This window comes from Homo sapiens, chromosome 4 (assembly GCF_000001405.40).
Source record: "Homo sapiens chromosome 4, GRCh38.p14 Primary Assembly".
NCBI classification, from domain to species: domain Eukaryota; kingdom Metazoa; phylum Chordata; class Mammalia; order Primates; family Hominidae; genus Homo; species Homo sapiens.
In genome coordinates, this window is record NC_000004.12 from 73,123,544 (window position 1) to 73,145,661 (window position 22,118).

Genomic DNA, 22,118 nt, shown 5'->3' on the forward strand with positions numbered 1-22,118 from the left:
CCAAATATAAGGGAACAAAAATTATGGAAAAAAATGCCTATATTATCACTGTTAATAGATTTCAGTTCTTTTTAATTTACAAAATGAAGGATGACCAAGCCCTACCCTTACTGCACTTACATAATTTTATTAGATTTCCCATTCTTTTGTATAGGAATTATTATATCTATTAAAATTGTTTATTTATTAGTTTATTTTAAAAATCTAGTGGGTTTAACTAACTAGAGCTCAATATAACCTTATGTGCTATGACTGGGGGGAAGTGGGGGGAAAAGCTAGTTTAAGATGCTCAAATGGGAGGTAACAGTTCCCCAGTTCACTCGTCAGAATACCTTTACATATAATATTTTAAGAAGGATACTGACATAAAGGGTGAAACAGTCACGATGATGAAGGGATTGGAAAAGGTATTCTTAGGCTAACAACCGAAACAAGACTTGTTTCACACAAAGAATAGGTGACTTCAGGAAAAAAAAAATCTGAAGATAGAAAAGGTTAAACCTCTTTCTATTTGTTTAAAGAACAAAACTAAGAACTGTGGGGAAACAAAAAAGGCATACTTCAGGCCTGATAAATAGGAAAACCTTATAAAAGAATAAGAGAAAAAAGATTTTAAAGCTAAGACACTGATCTGAATGACCTAAGGTGCTTTCCAAATCTAAGATTCAATAATTCCTTGATAGAGAAGGGAATCTATGGAGACAACACATCTGGTTTATATCCCCTGTACAAAGGACTGAATTTGAAAAAAAAAAAAAGGTTATCTAGCTGATTATAAAATGCCACAAGATACATAAGTGAGTGTAAAGCTACATTTTCTTGAGCCTAGCTAATCTCTATCAGTTGTTCTAGTTTCCTTAAAAAAACAAAAGGTCATATAATCTTACCATCTTATCTGAGAACCTTTCCTCCAGAGTTGAGAAAGGGTGGGGAAAAATCAAAGCAAGACAAGAGTTCTCAAAACACATAAAAATTGAATATTCTTAATTCCCTACTAATCTTACAGACAGCAACAGAGACTGTGATTAAGTACCTTCTATGCCATGTACTATAGGGCAGGCAAAGATGAGTGAATATAGGCCCTGTACATTAGGAACTTACTGATTTGACTTGGAATAGTCTTTCTCCTACCGTAAATGCATGGCATTCCTACTTTTAGATGAGCAGGATTCTAAACAATGTGTGATTTTTCTGGCAAGATAGCTTATGCTAACAATGATACTCATCTTTTTGTTAATAGATAATAGTTTCAGTTATTGTGAGAAATCTAAACGTCAAAGCATTGTTCTGATAGAAAAAATAATATAAGTGAAAGTACACATTTGCTAAACAGAGAAAGGAAAACAATTACACTAAGGGGAAACATTACCTCCTGTCTTCCCCCAGAACAAGCCAAGGAGAGTGGTGTGTCCTTGGTTCTTTCAGACTGGGCTTCAATGTCTGCACCATTGTCCAGCAATATTTCCACAACACCAACATGACCAGCTGTGGCAGCCAAGATGAGTGGAGTAAAACCTGGAGAAAAATAATGATCTTCTCACTACATGCTAAGGCAAAAGAACAAAATATCTGACCTTCAAAATAGGACTAAAAAATAATGTTCCTAAATAAATTTTTTGACCAGTATTCCAAAAAATAAAACAAAAGTAGGCCCTACCTTTCTTGTCTCGGTGCTCTATACTAGCTCCTCTCTCTAGCAGTGTTTGTACCAGTTCCTCGTGGCCACCAGCACAGGCAAGTGTTAGTGCCGTGTCATGATTACTCTCAGTCTATAAGAAATTATTTTTTGGTTAGTTTATTAAATAACTTAAGATGTTAATATCAAATACATAATATGCAAACATATCAAATACACACAAATACATATGTACCACTCTACAATATCAAGCATTTGAAAAGCAAGGTTTATGGACGGGCGTGGTGGCTCACGCCTGTAATCCCAGCACTTTGAGAGGCCGAGGTGGGCAGATCACGAGGTCAAGAGATTGAGACCATCCTGGCCAACATGGTGAAACCCCATCTTGACTGAAAATATAAAAATTAGCCGGGTGTGGTGGTGCGTGCCTGTAGTCCCAGCTTCTTCGGAGGCTGAGGCAGAAGAATCGCTTGAACCTGGGAGGCAGAGGTTACAGTGAACCAAGATCACGCCACTGCACTCCAGCCTGGGTGACAAAGCGAGACTCCGTCTCAAAAAAAAAAAAAAAAAGAAAAGAAAAGAAAAGCAAGGTTTACTTGTTTCCATATTAGCAGCCAACTTGCGAGTTTTTTAAAAAGGCTACAAACATCAAGAAAAATAAAGTATGACTTTCAATCACGTGATTGAAAGAAATACTGTGGATTAACTTTTGCTTTCAGCCATTAATGGAGAAACATAGATCAGATTTATTTTCCTATTTCAAATAACTAAAAAAGAAAAAAAACCTCTTTGAAACGATGGTGTTTAGACAGGCAGTGCAGAAGAGTGATCTCTGAAGACAGAAATGATTAGCCCAACTTACTGCCTGGAGAGTTTCCAGGCTATAGTGCAAGGAGCAAGTATCCAAACAACCTGGCAGTCTCCCCAACTTGAGAAGACAGAATTTGGAGAGATCAAGGTGGCTAGAATTCATGGAGCAGATTATTGAAGAGGAGAGTACTGCAGAAAGGGTACTCTGGAGATGTGCAGAGGATTCCCCTCAAATCTTCAGCTGAGTTTTGATCAGTCCATGTGCATGAGGAAATTATCCCAGGCCAGGAAAGGACCACCAGAGAGAGTCAGGCTGAATAATACCCAGGGCTCACACGGAGCCAGGAATAGTTTGGTTCCCACCAGCCAGAGTAGAAAGACCTCAAAACACACAGGATGTCAAGTAGAATCCTCAGTAGTAGGGCCAAATTAGCAGTTGTGGACCCACCTAACAAACTGAGAAGTAGGCCTTGAAATTTAAAAAAAAAAAATTGTTTCCAAGTAACTTAGCTGTATTTGAGAACAAAGCCCCAAAATACTTAAAGGAACCAAATATCCAAAATATACTGTGTATTTTGAAAAACAAAGACTATTATAATGAGACATGACACTATCTACATATGGTTTGCTTCTGCCTTCTGCTAATGATAATGACCAACATATTAGATTTACCAGTGTTCATACTCTGTTATAGTTTCAATGCTAACCTAGCAAACTATCTAATTTCTCATACTTTTATTATTTATTTTATTTTTTATTTTTGAGATGGAGTCTCGCTGTCACCCAGGCTGGAGTGCAGTGGCGCGATCTTGGCTGTCTGCAATCTCTGCCTCCTGGGTTCACGCAACGCTCCCTGCCTCAGCTTCCTGAGTAGCTGGGTTTACAGGCGTCTGCCACCACGCCCAGCTAGATACCTTTTAGTACTCTACAAGCAACATGTGACTATTAGCATTTGAAATATGGTTAGTGTAACAGAGGAACTGAATTTTAAATTGTATTTAACTTTAATTTAAATGTAATAACTGATATTCAATTTGGTTACTGGAAAATTTAGGATGTCTCAAACAATTTGAGTAAATGAATCTACTTTTCGACTGCACATTTAATTAAATCTAGATACAAATTGAGTATTTCCAATGAAATCCAAATTCAGATATACTTTAAGTAGGGTGACAAATCTGGGACTGAGGGGGTTTCTGGGATGAGGGACTTCTGGTGCTAAAACAGGAAAGTCCCAGGAAAACCAAAATGATTTGATCACTCCAGCTGTAAGTCTAACATGCCCAAGTTTTGAAGACTTTTAGTATGAAATAAAAATGTAAATTATCTCAGCAATTGTGGTGTATTGATTGCATGACATGTTAAAACAATATTTGGATATATTAAATTAAATTAAATATATTTTAAAATTCATCCCATTTGTTTCTTTTCACATTTTTTAATGCGACTACTAGAGAATTTAAAATTACAATCTCATCATATTTTTCAACTGAACAGTGTTGCTCTAAGCATTTCCCTCACTTTCACATATGTATCTCTATTATAGTACTTATCACCAATCTGCCTTATATGTTTATCACCCACAGAGACTATAAATTCCTGGGAGGTAAGGAACATGTCTTATCCATGTTTGTATTTTCTACCTGTAGTGATAAATTACTTAGGAAATAATAAATGATAGTTAAGTAAAATGAATGGCAATAGCTGCAAAAGGTCATAGATTCAAAAACTGTTACTAATAAACATAATAAGCAAGGGACTATATATGTAGCATTGATTACATTTACACATTGTATTTGTAGAATGTACATAATAATTATAAAAAGGAAAAGCATATTCTCCCAGAATGTAAATAACTCTACAGACCAAATTCCATTATAAGAAATGAAAAACAAAAGACAAAAGGCAAAATCAGTAAGAGTTAAGAAAAAAGAAAAAGCCTACTAGTCAGTGATGAAGAGGGAGACGGCAAAAGCTGCTCTGCAGAAGAGGCTGGCAGAGAGCAGAGCTACTGACTGCAGAGATCAGGGATGGCCACAAGGGAGAGATGCACCAACTACAACAATGGAGAAGGACATGAAACTTAAATGAGTGACAGCTCTGACTGTGTTATACTATTTGATCTTCATTTCAGGTTTATAGGAAGAAATTATATCTGATTTCAGAGAAAAGGAGATAAAGGCTCTGATAAATAACTTTCCGATGGCCACATAAGCTAACAACTGGTAGATATGTGCTTTAAAAAACCCAAGAAGATCTTGATAACAAAATCCTGCTCTCCCCACTATATCACAGAGGGGCCCTAAGGCAAAGCAGATTGTGCTGAATATAATGTTAAGTGTATGTGTCTTATGTCCACTCTACGTTGGTGCATATGCAATCAGCAGAAGAATCAATTTTATGATGAAGTTTATAAGGTTTCTAAAATTCTTCCAGGGTTTAAAGAGTAATTTAGGAAAGCTTAAATAGAAAATGAAGAGATGTACATAAAATTTGCAAAAGATAAGCACGGAAAATTTTAGTGGATCAGTAAAATGTTTTTTCCAATATTATAAAACATAAATTCAACTGACATTTATTAAGCACCTTTTATATTCAAAGCACTCTACTAAGTGCTCGAGGGTTGACAAAGATAATACAGGACTCAAAGAAGCTTACTGATTACTACACAGGGCAAATTCAGGTTCAAACTAGGAGACAAGCATAATAATATATTATGAGATTTCAAGAAACAAACATTTAAAGCTAAGAAAACAGCTTTAAATTCCTTGTGGAAATGAAGTTAAAAGTGGGCAACTCCATTGTATTTCTGCATTAAGAGAAACTAAACCAACTAACATGACAGAAATATCACTCTATTTCTGAATACATCAATAAACAAATGAACTGAAATAGAAATTTGGGTTAATATTAATAATGACAAAGTAAAGAAAAAAACAGGTGTTTCAAATACTGCTAATCATGGAAATAATTATAATACAGCTGACTATTTTGTAGAAGGCAAAGTACCAATTAAAGGAAGAATCCTTAGATTCAAATTATATTGCACAAAGTTACATTAGTCAAGAAGTTATATTCCTTGTCACAGATCTAAGAGAAAGTCCCGAACCTGAAAAAGGAGATAGATGTCCAGAGCTTTAAGAGCTCATTCAGGTTTCTATTCTAAAGAAAATTTCAGTTAGCCCATGATGCCATAATATATACACCATTCTATACCATTAATAGAGGTTGTTATGATGAATTCTGGCTTATAAAAAATGATAAAAAATATATTTAATGCAAAAATATTCTGTAAGTTATCAACATGACTATTCAATTTTATAATGGTGGTACAGAATGAAAAACAAGAAATAGTAACACAGATGGCAATACTGAAGGAAAGACAACTTTTAATGAGCTGAAATTCAGGTGAAAAAGCACTGAACTGTGTGAAGTGTCTTTAAAAAAGGAAATACGCTGGGTACAATGGCTCATGCCTGTAATCCCAACACTTTGGGAGGCTGAGGCAGGAGGATCACTTGAGGCCAGAAGTTTGAGAACAGCTGGGCAACATGGCAAGACCCCATCTCTGCAAAAAATTAGCCAGAAGTGGTGTGCAATGCCTGTACTCATAGCTACTCATGAGTTTGGGGCAGGAGGATCATTTGAGCCCAGGAGTTCATGGCTGCAGCAAGCTGTGATGGTGCCACTGCACTCCAACCTGGCTGACAAGAGTGAGACCCTGTCTCAACAACAACAACAACAACAACAAAAAAGTACATCTATTAATTACTTTTTTTTTTTTTTTTTTTGAGAGAGAGAGTCTTGCTCTGTCGCCAAGGCTAGAGTGCAGTGGCTCACTCAGCTCACTGCAAGCTCCGTCTCCCAGGTTTGCGCCATTCTCCTGCCTCAGCCTCCCGAGTAGCTGGGACTACAGGTGCCTGCCACCACGCCTGGCTAATTTTTTTTTGTATTTTTAGTAGAGACAAGGTTTCACGGTGTTAGCCAGGATGGTCTCGAACTCCTGACCTCATGATCCTCCCACCTTGGCCTCCCAAAGTGCTGGGATTACAGGTGTGAGCCACTGCACTCTGCCTATTAATTACTCTTAACATAATTAAATTACCTTGAAAACTACTAGGACTTAAAGAGCTGAACTTTTTTTACACTTCCACAACCTTCAAAATCCTTAATATCTCATTCTCTAACCCACTCAGGTTACATGTAAGCTTAAAAAGTGGGATAGCACTTCAAGGTATTCAATAAATGAGAATAATCAGTAAAATAAATAACCTATTAAAAGCAGTTCATATGAACAAGTAGAATGCATGTATTTTAAAGCAGAATGCTTTAATGGTAGCATATTATATATGTATCACTGTTAACTAATTTTTGCTGGCCTCTCTAATTTCTCATGTTAAATCACTGTGATTAAACTGTTCTTTATATTGCAAAACCAATAAGAATAGAGAAAAATATTCATATAATACTTATACCATTAAAGGTAAAATATAATTTTACATACTTAACAATTTCAGTCTTGATACGTCACAAGTGAAATTTGATGTCTACCCTTCTTTAAAATAATGAATATATGTTAATTATTAAAAAGTGAAAGAAAGCAAAATTCTATAAAGATCTATTTTTTTTTTTTCAGTTTTGAGATGTACTAGAATAAGGTACTCCAAGTTCAAGAAAAGACTTCAGCGGCCTCAGAATAAAAACAACAAGCAGTTTAGGAATATAGGGAGGACATGTGACAAAAAAGAGGCTGGAACAAGTTTTTATAGCCCAAGAACAAAACAACTGGTTCTTTCTCATTGGTAGTGGCTCCTAGAATCGATCATATTTTACACAATAAAATACAAAAAATATTTAATTAACTTGTGGTATTCAGTTCTAACCTTCAAGTCAGAATTATTGTTCCACATAAAGCCTGTGGTTTTAAAAAATCTCTACATAATTCCTCATTTCTGTATGTACAGAACCCACAAATAAGTTTGGTTATACCAAACTTAAGCAAAATAAACTCAACTTAAACTCAAGCAAAATAAACACAAAGGTCAGAGCAATGCTATCAAAAGGTGTAATAAAAATAGTCCCAAATAATTCCTTCAAACTATTATTTATTGGTTTCCTAAAACAGATTTTGATAGCAGCAAAGTATGTGGTATTCATCTTAAAAGTTTTGAAAATACCTAGACAAATTTGATTCAGTAAAACTGGAGAGTTGGAAAGTCTGTGGCACACCCTTGGCAAGTGAGTTCTAGTTGTGTAGCAGAGAGTTGAAGCCCCTTATGAAGAATGCAAACTCTTCAGCATTTGTCAAGGATCAGAAATAAAACATATGATTCCTGCTAATCCTTGTTAAAAATATTAGCTCCTGTCTAAAATGTTCAACTAAAGCAGTTAAAGGTCTGACCATTTTCCAGAATCATTAGCATTTTAAAAGGAGTTATACTTTGAGGCTTTAAAAGATTAACATTTCCTTTGTTCTTCCTTATATTTTGATGTTAAGTATGCAAAGATGAAAGACAAATGATCTCTTACCATCTAGGCAGTGGACACGTTTCTGTGATCCCACTTACCAGGCTAATACAACATAATTCAAATTCAAGGTTAACACACTTAAGTTAAAAATAAAAAAACAATGTAACATAGTGCAGTGGTTAATAAAAGAAAAGAGTCTAGAGCCAGAGTGTCTGAGTTCAAAAGTAGGCTCCACCACTAATTAGCTGTTGGGCAAGGTAGTTAATATCTTTATGTCTTATATTCCTCAAATGGAAAATGTAATAATAATAGTACCTACTTCATGGGACTGTTACAAAGATTAAGTTAAAGAAGTTAATATCTGCAAGGCATTAAGCCTGTATGTTAGGGTTTGTTACATAAACAGATGAAAGATCTAAGTATTAAAGAATGTTTAATCTTTCAGAATAGCAATCTTGGTATTAATTTCTTCATTATATTATTTGTCACAGCACAGTATTATCACACATAATCAAAGTACCCACTATGTAAGAGCCCACAAAATTTTTATTTTCTTATCAAAACAAAAACTTTGAGCTTTTGTTTGATTGAGTATAAAAGGATCTTCATTTTTAATCACTTAAATTACCTGCTTGATATAAAAACTAGTTGTTTTTTTTTTTTTTGAGACAGAGTTTCACTCTGTCGCCCAGGCTGGAGTGCAGTGGTATGATCTTGGCTCACTGGCCAACACTCTGCCTTCTGGGTTCAAGTGCTTCTCCTGCCTCAGCCTCCCAAATAGGTGGGATTACAGGTGTGTGTCACCATGCCCGGCTAATTTTTGTATTTTTAGTAGAGACAGGGTTTCATCATGTTGGCCAGGCTGGTCTCGAACTCCTAACCTCAGGTGATCCATCCACCTCGGCCTCCCAGAGCGCTGGCATTACAGGCGTGAGCCACCACACCTGGTCAAAACTAGTAAATTTTAAAAACAAACATCAAAAATTAAAGGAGAAAAATGGTGAACAATTATTTTTGAACAGTATTTTTTTCCAAGGTAGGAACTTTTTAATCTCTAACTAAACACATATGGTAAAACTCCACAGAGAGTAGTTTAACTCAGGTCTGGCTAACCCAACAAATGACAAATCTTGATGTGAGATCAGATAAAAAAAGTAGATTTTTAAGGAGTCATAGTCAAATTTTTCTATAAAAGCATGTCTACTATGTTTAAAATGTAAGTTTAAAAATAATTTTAATTAAAAAATTACATGTAACTTCTCAGAACTAAGTTATAACATGGTGATAGTTGGTGAGTGGTACAGCCCAGAAAAATCATTTCACCATCACTACAGTAATTTCATATTCAGTAAAATCAATGACTGGACAAACTTTTCTGTGCCTGTTTAAAAACATTTTTATAAAGAAGTCTTTTTACATTTTGGTGAAGTACTTATTTTTGCTAATGGATCAATTCTTGGGCCCACAAAAATCAGAAAACTACCTCTTGCTAAACATAATAGTCTCAGCTGTGTGCGGTGGCACACGCCTGTAATCCCAGCACTTTGGGTGGCTAATGCAGGCAGATCACCTGAGGTCAACGAGTTTGAAACCAGCCTGGCCAACATGGTGAAACCCCATCTCTACTAAAAATACAAAAAAATTGGCCAGGCGTGATGGTGGGCGCCTGTAATCCCAGCTACTCAGGAGGCTGAGGCAGGAGAATCGCTTGAACCTGGGAGGCGGAGGCTACAGTTAGCCAAGATTGCCACTGCACTCCAGCCTGGGTGACAGAGCGAGACTCCGTCTCAAAATAAAAAAAAAATAAAAAGCCTCAAAGCAAAAAAGACTGGGGAAAAATAATGCAAATTCAATGCCAAGTTCAAACCAATTCTACAATGCTATCAATATTAAATGTAAACAACTATGGCTCATCAAATGAATGTCTCGTGTTTTTTTTTTTTTTTTTTGAGACAGAGTTTCGCTCTTGTTGCCCAGGCTGGAGTGCAGTGGCATGATCTCGGCTCACTGCAACCTCCATCTCCCGGATTAAAGTGATTCTCCTGCCTCAGCCTCCCGAGTAGCTGGGATTACAGGCATGCGCCACAATGCCCAGCTAATTTTTTTTGTATTTTTAGTAGAGATGGGGTTTCACCATGTTGGCCAGGCTGGTCTCAAACTCCTGACCTCAGGTGATCCGCCCGCCTCAGCCTCCCAAAGTGCTGGGATTACAGGCGTGAGCCACCACGCCCGGCCATCTCGTATTTTTTTTTAAAAGGCTATGTAGATGGTAGTTAAGAGTGTCTTTGGGGGATGGTGGCACACCTGTAATTCCAGCTACTCAGGAGGCTGAGACAGGAGTTTGAGACCAGCTTGGGCAGCATGGCAAGAACCCATTACAAAAGAAAAAAAGAATGGTGTCTTTGAAGTCATGCTGAATGATTCCCAGCCCTGCCGCTTCTTAGCCTAAATGAAGTGACTAAACAAAATGCTTAACCTCTCTCTTAGCTACAATGTCTTCTTCAGGGAGATGGATATTAAGAGTAGCTACATCATGTATGTGGTCTGAGGATTAGATGAGACAATTCCTTAAAATAGTCCCTGGCAATTTTAAGTACTCAACAACAACAAAAGTCAGTACATAAAAAACAACAGACATTTGGCCAACAAGTAAGAGCAGAAATAAAATTCCTTTTTCATAGTGTTACTGAGGATCATTTTAATAAAAAGGAAACTTTATTTTTAATAGGTTAAGAGTACATGCCCTTAATGGTCCATCCAACACAAACACACATACACTCACTCCTCTCTCTTTCTCCCCACGTTACCCCTGCTAAAATTCAGGCTTTATTATAAAGAAATAATCATATATAAAATTAAAAGTTTTATAATGTACACACCCCAGGTACCATCAAAATACAAAAACTAAGTAAACTGCAAACATTTCTTAGTCCTGATGGCCATGTACTCTTGACCTTATTCAGCAGTCTTCTAAACTAGACCTCTTAACTTTTCTTCAGGATAAAACACGCACTATTCTCTCCAATCTCACCTTGCCCTGAGATTTCATGGTCAACTACTTTTTAATAAAAAATTATACTTAATAGCTCTCAAACTTTCTAAAGCTTAACTTAAACAGTGTCCTCCCCCCACTCCATGTTATTTCTTCAAAAAGTGCCTGGAATCCCGTACAGCTAAATTTTACAAATACAGACACAGACTCACCACATATTTCAATCAGTAAGATGAGAATTTTCAAAGATGATATATGATATCAATCATGTGTATGACATACAAAAATATAATTTTATGTTAGAACCTTTTTTCTTTTACATGCAATCCATTATATATTTCAAACCATATCTTCTATTAATTTATTATTAGAAGAAGTTATGCACTAATCTTAAATAAATTATTTTTCTTTTATATCCTCTTGTGAACTAAAGTTAAAAAAAAGGTTACCTGATGACCTTGGAAACCAGACCATCACATAATTATCACTAATAATCTATATTTAGCATTTTATTTTTTAAATGTGAACTTTAATTAATTTAAAACTGGCTCAAGACTTTGCCTAGAGACAAAGCAGTCTTTCATGGTTTAAATCTCTGAAAGTTAATGTTTTTAATTATGGCATAATTCCAATGAAAAAACCATCTCTCTTAAGTTTGGGACTTACCTGTGCATCAATATCAATGGCAGGGTAGATAGGAAGCATGGCTGAAGGAGAGATGATAGGACTTGGAGTTGGAGTCTGAGGTTGGGAAATGGATGCAGCAATACTGTGGGTAGGAGTGTTTGACATTGCAGATGCTCTTCCACTGACTGCTGTTGAACAAAATAACTGCACTTAATAAGGATGAAACATTGTTAAGTAATACTAAGACATATTCACTCAAAAATATTTAAAGACTTCTTAAAACAATATGTCTACAGGAAGACTACTATAGCACTAATAACTAATTTTCCTGGTTATTATTCACTGATGACAGTGTAAAATTGTAATGTATACTGAGTAACTCATTTTCTAAATAATAATCCAACTGAAAAACAAATTCCCCTGTTATAAGCAGTCGTAAAACCTTAATTCAAAATAACCCTGAAAACAAAAATGTTTATGTATTAAATATAAATGCAAATGGAAACTTGTCCATTATATCCTAATTAGAAAGGGGATCAAAGGTAAAATAGTCAAGATCAGAAGGGGGAATATGTGGTTTTTACTTGCCAATTTCACACCTTATATTCTAGAACTAGTAAAATTAATATCACTGTCGGGGAGGGAGAAATCTCACTATGCAATCATTTAAAACACCGCCATACTGTTTTACTAACTGCAGACTGGGATATAGTAATATTCTGCATTGTAGCCCTCTGGAATGACAGGATATTCAAATATAAAAATTTATCCTCACACAGAAGTGTAGTTGCTCATGTGAAGAATTATTCTGAGGGAGCTAAAATGCTCACCAATGAATCCAGCAATCACACTGACTTAAGGACAAAATTAAAAGATTAGGGTAGAAATAAATGTATGCACACAAACATTCTTCAAATATGGATTACTATTATTCTAAGTATGATGTTGCTGTGATATTATTTTCACCAAAATATGCAACTTAAGAAAAGGCTATTCTGATCAGTACTTGAGGTGGGAGGACTCCAAATATGCTGGCATAGGATATACTGTAGATTCAGCTGAGGGTACTTTATTCTCTCATTGCCTTATTTCTGGAGTTGATAGGTGAACATCATCTCCCCCAACCCCATTAAAAATGCTATAGTATTAAAGTATGGGCATTTATCTTTGACTGGTCAACAGTACTGTGGATGTGTATTACCAAAGTAGTTATCAACTACATCAGACAGAAAACAATCATGATTCACAACTGGATCTGAAACCAGGCAAAAGAGATTATGATCCTGTCAAGAATAAAACTGAAATTGATCTTATTATAACAATTATAAACATAATTATGAATTAAGAAATCTATTTTACATGAAATCCTTAGTTCAGGCACAAACATACACTATACATTATAGCAACACACATTCTATAATTATACATTTTTAAGTCCACTTAAAAGCCAAAGGAAAAACGAAGGAGAAAACAAAACAAAACAAAACAAAACACTGTTTGAATCCTTAGGGATCCAGACCAATAGAAAAGGGCATATACTAATATATTAAATTGATAATCTAGCGATCTGGATATTGTTACTCCATATTGATAGTTTTGTATGTTACGAAAAGATCAAGATAATTTAAATGTACATATTGTTGATATACATTTCAAAATCATATAAAATCTAGAGCTCTTTAAATTGATTCCATATCTCCTTTGATTGGATTTTCACAATAAAACTGCTAAATACAAAAAGTAGCTTAAACAGGATGAACACCAGTCTGTCCGAATCACTAAATTTTATTTCATAATACTAAACAGGTTAAAAAAAATCTAAGTTTTATTGTTAAATGACTAAATTATAATTTACATTTCAACTGGAATATTTTCTTTTAAAGAACCTACCAAAATTACAGAGTTTTTTTTTTTTTTTTTTTTAAGTCAAATTGGTTGTTCTTATCACCTCATCTAAAAGGAGACAGGAAAAATCAATTATCTCATCATTTCCTTCGGGGTACCTATAAAATTGGTTTACTAAAATTAGGTGACTGTCAATCACACATCCATTCTCTACAACTAAAAGAAACAAATGTAAAATATGTAGGTACCTGAAGGAACTCTGGTAAAAATCTTTACATGTGGGGCTTCATTTTAGTGTTAGATTTAGAGAGGGAGAACCACACATCAGAAAAGTTTTAATGTCAGCATAGAAAAAAGGGAACTTGAAATGATAGCAAAGGCAAGGTGTTGAGACAGGTTAAACAGGGAGCTGATTCTGGTTTGGCAAGTGTGAAGAACAGGAAAGACAGACGATTTTGGTCAGCAAATTTTATGGTAGAAGTCTAATAAATGAAGCCTAAGAAATAAAGAGCAGGGACTGTGCTAGAGGGAGGAAAAGAAGACGATGAGACTAATGAGGCTGTAATATACTTTAAACCCCTAAGAAAGAAGTGGAAATCATCATTAAGCAACTGAAAGGATACATCCTACCACAGAAATTTAAGATTGAGGCTGCAAAAGTCAGTGCATGAGTATATGTGCATGTGTGTGAATGTGCACATGCCTGTTGTCAGGGATGAGTTGCAGGTAAGTAGCCAAATGTTTTCAATCCTACTCTTCCTCCTTCTGGCTATGTTTCTCTCCCCATAGAAATGAGCATAATAAAAAAGTAAAATATTTTTGTATTATGACAAGCATCTGTCATATTTCCTAAAAAGTTATATGCACTTAAAATTTTTTTATACAGAACACTGAGAATACACAGAATTGTTTTTGTTTCATGTATGAATCAAAAGAAAAGATACTTTACAAACTTCTGATAATTCTGATCAGCATACAAAACTGTACAACTAGCAAATCATTGTTGACAACTATGCATGCCCAAGCACATCAGGTAAACTCTGATATTATATAAAAAAAATTTTTTTAAACAACCATTACTGTGTAATACCTATTCTTCATTAAAGTGGATACGTAATATTTAACTCTATACATCCTTTAGTAGTTTCACATGATAGAGCACTATTATGATCTGAATTCATATGGACATAGTATCAAATTTAGGGTTAATGGTTACTGTGCTCCAACTTTCACAGGATATTTAATAATTTTAAAAGTTTACTCTCAATTATTATAATCAGCTAGTCATGATTAGTAGTGACTTTCAAATCTATAGAAAAATTTTGCACTCATCAATAAGAGTCGTACAATTCTTACTAGTAATTATTACTAGCATTTTTCCAATGTGGTTATTTAACCCTTAAGACTAGCAGAAATTTTCATTCCACATGTTATAACTACTGAGGTGCTATTAAAGGCGGACTAGCAAACTTTACAGATATTTTTAAGTATAAAATCTATCTCAGCTGGATTCTTAGTGTCTGAACGTTACCTAAATATCTAAACACTATACAGTTTAGTTTCCTATTATCCATTTAAAAGATGAAACTTAAAAAAAAATAAGCTCATCATATTTAATGCTACTGAAACAGTTTTTAAATTAGAAAAAGTCAATCATCCTCTAAGTACAGATGAATGAATAAAAAAGGGGAAGAGATCAGATGGAAGTCACCAAAATTCCACTGTTTATTCCTTTCATTTTTCTGTTTTCCTTCCTTTTCAAATTTTCTTTTTTTAATGAAGCAAATTATCCTTCTCAGTACAGCATTCTTATGGTTCACAACCCTATAAAACCTCATCCCATTACTTTGTTACAAAACACAAAAAATAAGTACCAAAAACTAGAAGCATAAAAACAGTCTTCTAAAGTGTATCTTCTTGTCAATGAAACTAGTTATAATCGAATAAAATTTATCTGGCTACACATCTAAAAATATATCATTTATGATACTTTCAGGGGGGCCACACCTTCTCATGATACAGTTAGAAAGAGACTACACATTAACATTCACAGGGGACAAAATCACTTACATACAGTATAATTAAACCCTATTTGGTTTTGAACTTTATTAATTTTGTAAAAGTGTTTTTTTTTTTAAATATCCATCAGGTTTGAAGTCTGATCCATTAGGATATAAAGTATTTCTGTTCATAAATAAGCTTCCTGATGTGTCCTACTAGTTTTGCACTTCAACTTCTATCAATTTCCCAGTTTATTGGTGTGAATACAGAAGCAAAATGCCAAAATTCAATCTCAGTATTCTGAACTTAAAGGAAAAAAATGAAAACAAAAACAAAAATCAAACATCAACCCCACTACTGAAAAACCTAGATTCTCAAGCTACCAAGCTAAGCCAGAAAGCTTCAGTCATTTGTACTGAATGAGCTAATCTTTAATTTGACCTGTATCCATCTGAGAACTTCTGAGATTGAACTAATACTTCTAAAGCTAGACATGAGTCAGTCCAAAAATAGTTCTCAAGTTGGGTAACGGCAAAAAATTTGGGTACATTCTTACTCGCCTTAAGCAAATCATATTTGATACCTGCTCATAACAATATAAACCCACCTGCCATGATGTCATCCAGCGTGTCATTGAGGGTCTGAGCAGGGCTGGCTACCATTAACCCTTGTTGTGTTTCTGTCAGAATTCCTTGCCCCAGCCCTGCCAACTGTGCTTGGCCCAGTACTGGCTGTCCAACTATCACTCCTTGCAGTTCTGTAAGATTTGCGATGGACCCTGGAGGCAAGGGACCTGCCGCCAGAGGCAAAGCTTGAGGCATCGCCAGAGGCTGGATTGGCGCAAAACCCATCTGAGCAGCAGTCTGCTGGGGTTCATCTTTAAGTAAAACAGGATCCACTTGCTGTAACCGTGCATAGTCTCCCTCAGAAAGCTGCTCTCCAACTCCAACAGGAGTTAGTAATCCCAGGTGTTGGCAAGACTGTTGCTGCTGTTGCTGAAGTTGAATTCTTTGAGCTTTAACCTCTAGATACTGCTTTTTTAGCTGCTGCTGAGTTTTCAGTTGTAACTCTCGTTCTACTTTCTGTAGTTCCTCCAAAATCTTTTGTTTCTTCTGAATTTGTTCCTCCCTTGTTTTGTTGAGCTCCTCGATCTTCTCCTTGGTAAGTTGGTCAGCATGAGCCAGTTCCAAGGACTGCAGCTGTGCATTCTTTTCTATGGCTTCTTTTATCCTCTGTTCCAGTTCTGTTAACTTTCCCTGAGCCTCTTCTACAATGCTCTCTGGAGACTGATTGGTGATGTAACCCTGTACATCCTGGCTGTTTGCTGGCAAATGGCTGCTGGACTTTTGTTTAGAAGCAGCTGTGTGAAAAAGAAACCCCCTCAGAAGTGCACATGAATGGCATCCTCATTACAGAGTTACTGTTGGGAGGTTTAGTGCCAACAGTTATGCACTAAGTAATCATATCCATAACAGGTGAAAATGCACTGTTAAAAAATTAAAAACAAATCCACCTTCTTTTTCACAAATATAAAATGTATGTATTTTATGTGCAAAATCTTTGTAAATTAATTTCAGAATCTTAAAAATAGCACATGGCTTAAATTAGACAATAGAGGAATGCAGGTTTGTGATATCTAAGTGTGCAATTAAAGTAACATCTAAGGCTATGTGTAGATATTTTATATGGTCATAAAGATGTTAAAACTCATCATAAGAACAGAACAATAATGCTAAATTATTAGGGTGAAGAGGAAACAGACCTCTAAGTCAGGTTTTTTCACATTTCATAGTCTGTGCCTTTTAAACACACACACATACACACAAAAAGTACCCAAACCACTAAGAAGTAACAAGAAATTAAAATCTGAGTAAAATATATGTCTTTGTTGGGGCCTACCATCTTCAAGACTAATAGAGGCAAGATATAAATTCACATATTCACACAGCTATCTGGCCAGTAGAGAATTGGGATTCAGTTTCCCTGGAAGAAAAGATGCTGGACTATGCCATCCACTGTATCTTCTGACAGCCAGGTGAACAGACAGATCTGGCTATAGGTATAGCAATCAATTGTTTGCTATACCAACTGAAAAAGGTGCCAAGGCTCTAGGTTGATAGTAGTGACTGAAAAGAGCTGGTGAAAATACTTAGCATTCTTGTTCATAAAAGAGTATACGTAGCCAAAAACCAAAAAATAAAAACTGCACTGTTTCTTCAGGTAAAACTTTTAAAAAGAAAAACTGATTCAAACCGGTAGGTATAAAATGTTTGGGGACATTACTTAAGAACACACATGGTGTAACATACACAAGTCAAATATGGACCTCAGAATTCTAGAGAAATAAACAAGCATATCTCAAGTAACTGAATTATTGGTTGAGAAAAGGTATCCCAGATCAGATATAAAATCTATATTAAGCCAGTCATTCTAAAATAAATTTCTAATATTTGATACATCTTGTTAATTTATGCCTTTATAACTGCAGAGATTTAGGTAAGTAATTTATAAAAATATTGCTCAACTATACCCAGCTTAACATTTTACATGAATAAAAATTACTATTAAAGGAAATCATGGATAATCAGAACTGCATCAAAGATGAGCATCTGAATTTCTCATGCTAAAACTTCTAATTGTAGCACAAATTAGTGCTATTAACTATTTTTTTCTCCCAATAACATGCTTTTATCATGGGTTAAAAATTTAGTAATGCCAACTTAGTAAACTTCTTTGTTTGTAGAAATGTCTATTTTTTGGTAATCTTATTTTTACCTGGACACCAAGTAAGAAACAGTCTTTAGAAGTATAACTGACCTTTATTCCTGATGGGAAGAGTGGTGGCAACATTGGCAGGTGGTTTGTCAGGCTCCTGAGGTGGAACAACCATGGGCAGTGCTTGAACTGGTACACGAGGAGCCTAAGACAAAGGACACTAAGTGACTATTAGTGTCCTACACAATCCATTAAGTAATATGCTCTAAATAAAGAATAAATTAGAGATTTTTTGACAATATTTTTAATATGTCATCTTAGACAATGACATATTTACTTAAAATATGTTGGCACCAAATTGTTTACCACGACATTTTTTAGTAGGCTTTGAATTCAAGTTGTGACCTTTAAAAGCTAAAGCATAATCATATCATCTAGGATCTGAATATTGTACCAGATGTTCATTAACTGTATCAAGTACATATTTACAAACAGAACTACATATTAGAACAAAAAAAAACCCTAATTTAAACAGAAACTGTAAGTGAAAGAATTAGGATAAAGAAGACATACCATAAAATGCTTTAATTTTTAAAATCTTACCCTATTTAAATCGTGGGATGGGGGAGTTAACTGAGTGACATCTGGTGGAGGGGCTGAAAGCAAGTTATTAGGATAATCCAAGAGATAGCAAACAACACTTGTATGGCCACCTTTTGCTGCTTCTATCAACATAGTTGAGCCATCCTAAAAGAGTGAATATGGAAGGGGAAAAAAAGTGAAGAAAAATAAGTTAGTTTACAGAATCACTTAGGAAGATAAAGCCAACAGGTCCCAGACGCATTAAAATCATAGGTTTGGTAAAGAACGCTTCAAGTGAAAAAGGAGAAAATTTACACTTAGAATGCCATTATGAATGGAACTTGTACATGATATGTTGTAACAATGACCAAGAGAGAAATACTAATTCACAATTCTGCACAAACATTTGAGTTACATACTTTCAAACGGTGAGTAGGATCTGCCCCATGAGCCAAAAGTAGTTCCACCACTGCCAGATGACCCCCTGCACAAGCCAGGGACAGTACAGTATGGTCATTATTAGCTGTGGTTCTATTCACATTCGCTCCTAAAACAGAAAAGGCATGGAAAATCATATTAGTAGAATGGTTTTTCTTAAAATTATGGTAAATTTAAAAATCATGAAGAGTAGAGAAAATAGTATTATGAGGCTCCACATACCCATTACCGAGCTTTAATGATTATAAACACAAGGCCAATCTCATTTCACAAATATCCTACATTAATTCTCCTCTCCCATCTTGGATTATTCTAAAGTAAATAAATCCCAGACAAACACGATATAATTTGAAAAGGTTTGAGTATGCACCAGTAAAAGATACCAAAGTACCCATTACTCCTAATGTAATAACTGTATTAAAAGTAAAATATGAAGTTTTATTTGTATTTTAAGTTCTTCAGTAGAAAAGATGACTGAATAAAAATAAACTATACTGCCCTCTATGGGCTTTATGTAGAGAATAAACACTAAATAGAAAGAATAGTACCATTTTTTTTCCCATTAGTAAATTCCTGACAAGGAAAATAGATAATTCACCCCTATTCCCAAATAGGAATGTATCCCTAATTTATTCGTTTGTTGTTTTCGTAGAAATGGGGTCTTGCCATGCATGTTACCTAGGCTAGTCTCAAACTCCTAGGCTCAAGTGATCCTCCCACCTTGGCCTGCCAAAATGCTGAAATTACAGGCATGAGCCATTGCACCTGACCTCTATCCCTAATTTGGATTACTGTGCTAGGTAATGTGAGAAATGGAAATAAAACAGCAGAAAGAAACTGAAATCAAACTCATTAAAATTAACCAATGAGAGGGGACAGCGATTATGTACATAATGCTATATATTCATAACAGTATTCTAAAGCATATCACCAGTGCATGGGAAAATGTTGAAAGTAATTTCGCCAGTAAGTTATTTCAAATTTTCTTTACCTATAAACAATTATAAACTTGAGATTTCGTTACTATTATTATAATGTGAAGAAAATGGTATATTATTGCCTTTTAAAATTGTATATGGCCTACATCTTTTTTTTGTTTTGAGACAGGTTCTCACTCTGTCACCCTGGCTGGAGTGCAGTGGCACAATCATAGCTCACTATAATCTTGAACTCCTGAGCCCAAGTGCTTCTCCTACCTCAGCCTCCCAACTAGCTGGCACTACAGGTGCAAGCCACCATGCCCAGCTAATTTTTTAATTTTTTGTAGAGACAGAATCTCACTGTGTTGTCCAGGCTAGTCTTGAACTACAAGACTGAAAGGACCCTCCTGACTCGAGGTCCCAAAGAGCTGAGATTACAAGGGTGAGCCACCACACCTGGCTTCCTCTTTCTTTTATCAATGCAGAATCAAAAATAAAATCTGTAATCTCTTATACTTAAGAATATGATGAACTCTGAATTGAAAACTGTCTCAACTAGAACTTTCCTAGTAAGCACGTTAAGAAACAATTTAAAGAAAGTAATAATATACTCCCTTTTATTTTATTTGGTCATTAAGGTCTTTGGTATTCAAACTAAAATTTCTGATCATGAATGAAAATCCTCATGCAATTTGCTATATTTGTCACATTTCTATTGTGAACATTTTTTGTACTATATTTATAACCAGCTCCCTGTATTTTATAAAAAAGGAAACATAGAAGCAGGGAAATAGTAGAAATGTTACTTGCCACAAACTTTTTTAGTGGCAGAAACATCATAAAATTCCAGGTTTCAAGAAAGTGCTATAGTACATGAACACAGCAGAGTTTGTTACCTAAATCCTCAGTTTTTACACAGAGAAATTTCCCTTTCCTTTATACGTTTCACAACAAGTGTGCTACTTGGTATGACAATTATTTCTAGTTTGAAGCTGGTCTGTGCATGGCAGGATGTTTATCAACTATCCACTCAATCATTAAATGTCAGTAGCATCCCTCCTCATATGATACCCTCTTGCCTTCAAAAGACCTTTACCCTTAAATCTCTAAATGAAGGCAGGGGTAGATACCTTTCAAAAAAAGACAACTGTTTTATACAAACCTACCTTTACTAATTAAGAACTGAACAGTACAAACATGACCAGCTCTTGCAGCTTTCATTAAAGGAGTTCTTCCACCTTCAGATTCATGTTCCTGTTTAAAAAAAAAAAAAAAGACTTGACATTTAATTGCCAGTGAACAAGTATTCTTTTTCATGGAAATCAAAAGGAAAATAATTGGACTGATTTCTGAATCTAAATATTTAAATATAATGCTTTGAAGCAAATTAAGAAATATACTTTTAAATTTAAAAAAAATCTCAAATCATAAACATGTTCTATGGAAATAATTTTAGTATATGTGCTGCCAAAGTGAGCACTGGAAATAATTTTAAATTTGAAGTTATAGTCACGTGATCATGATGCCCTCATCTAAACGCATCTGAGTAATTTGTCCTTCTCTCTACACAATGAATTGCGGTACTTGAATATGCATGTATGGTACTCTAGCATGGCCTTCTCCGAACAATCAATATAATGAGCATTATCCTCATCCACTCCAAGTTATTTTCCTCTTATGAGTGTATCCCATCTCTATGAATTTTAGTAAGTACATCATTACCATCTCTTTACAGACTTCCTATTATCTCTAGTTTCCCTTATACAAAAATGATAACAAACTTTTCTAAAACCATCAACTCTAAGATGTTACAAGAGCTTTCTGGGTCCCAAAAGGATGGAGACTCTACTGCATACTTATGATTACTAAGTAATCAAGAACACTACTGGTGAAATTTTCAATCTTAAAAAAATAAAGATTTGAGAAAAAGTATCTTTTGTATGGCATTTTTTATTTCTTTTTTTAAAAAGCCTTCACATCTGATGAACAATTTCTGATTTTTCTCTTAAGCCATATCCTAGGTTTTTCTAATTGCCATCAACTAACCAAGTACTAAAGATTTCACTGCTGTATGTTTCAGAGC

At 35.0% G+C, this 22,118-nt stretch overlaps 1 protein-coding gene across 25 annotated transcripts in view; it reads right to left on the reverse strand.

The window, feature by feature from the left end:
- ANKRD17 (ankyrin repeat domain 17) overlaps window positions 1-22,118 on the reverse strand; it is a 185,423-nt gene that overhangs the window by 50,168 nt on the left and 113,137 nt on the right. For 8 of the 25 annotated variants that reach the window (XM_047450038.1, NM_032217.5, XM_047450039.1 and 5 more), the window contains 8 exons: window positions 21,202-21,289; window positions 19,097-19,224; window positions 18,699-18,842; window positions 18,198-18,300; window positions 15,988-16,740; window positions 11,574-11,722; window positions 1,658-1,769; window positions 1,370-1,515 (listed from right to left, as the gene is read on the reverse strand). In XM_047450038.1, coding sequence (XP_047305994.1) covers window positions 1,370-1,515; window positions 1,658-1,769; window positions 11,574-11,722; window positions 15,988-16,740; window positions 18,198-18,300; window positions 18,699-18,842; window positions 19,097-19,224; window positions 21,202-21,289 — 1,623 coding nt within the window. The remainder of the gene's footprint in view (window positions 1-1,369; window positions 1,516-1,657; window positions 1,770-11,573; window positions 11,723-15,987; window positions 16,741-18,197; window positions 18,301-18,698; window positions 18,843-19,096; window positions 19,225-21,201; window positions 21,290-22,118) is intronic. The other 17 variants (NM_015574.2, XM_017008011.2, XM_047450041.1 and 14 more) reach the window with 3 other exon arrangements.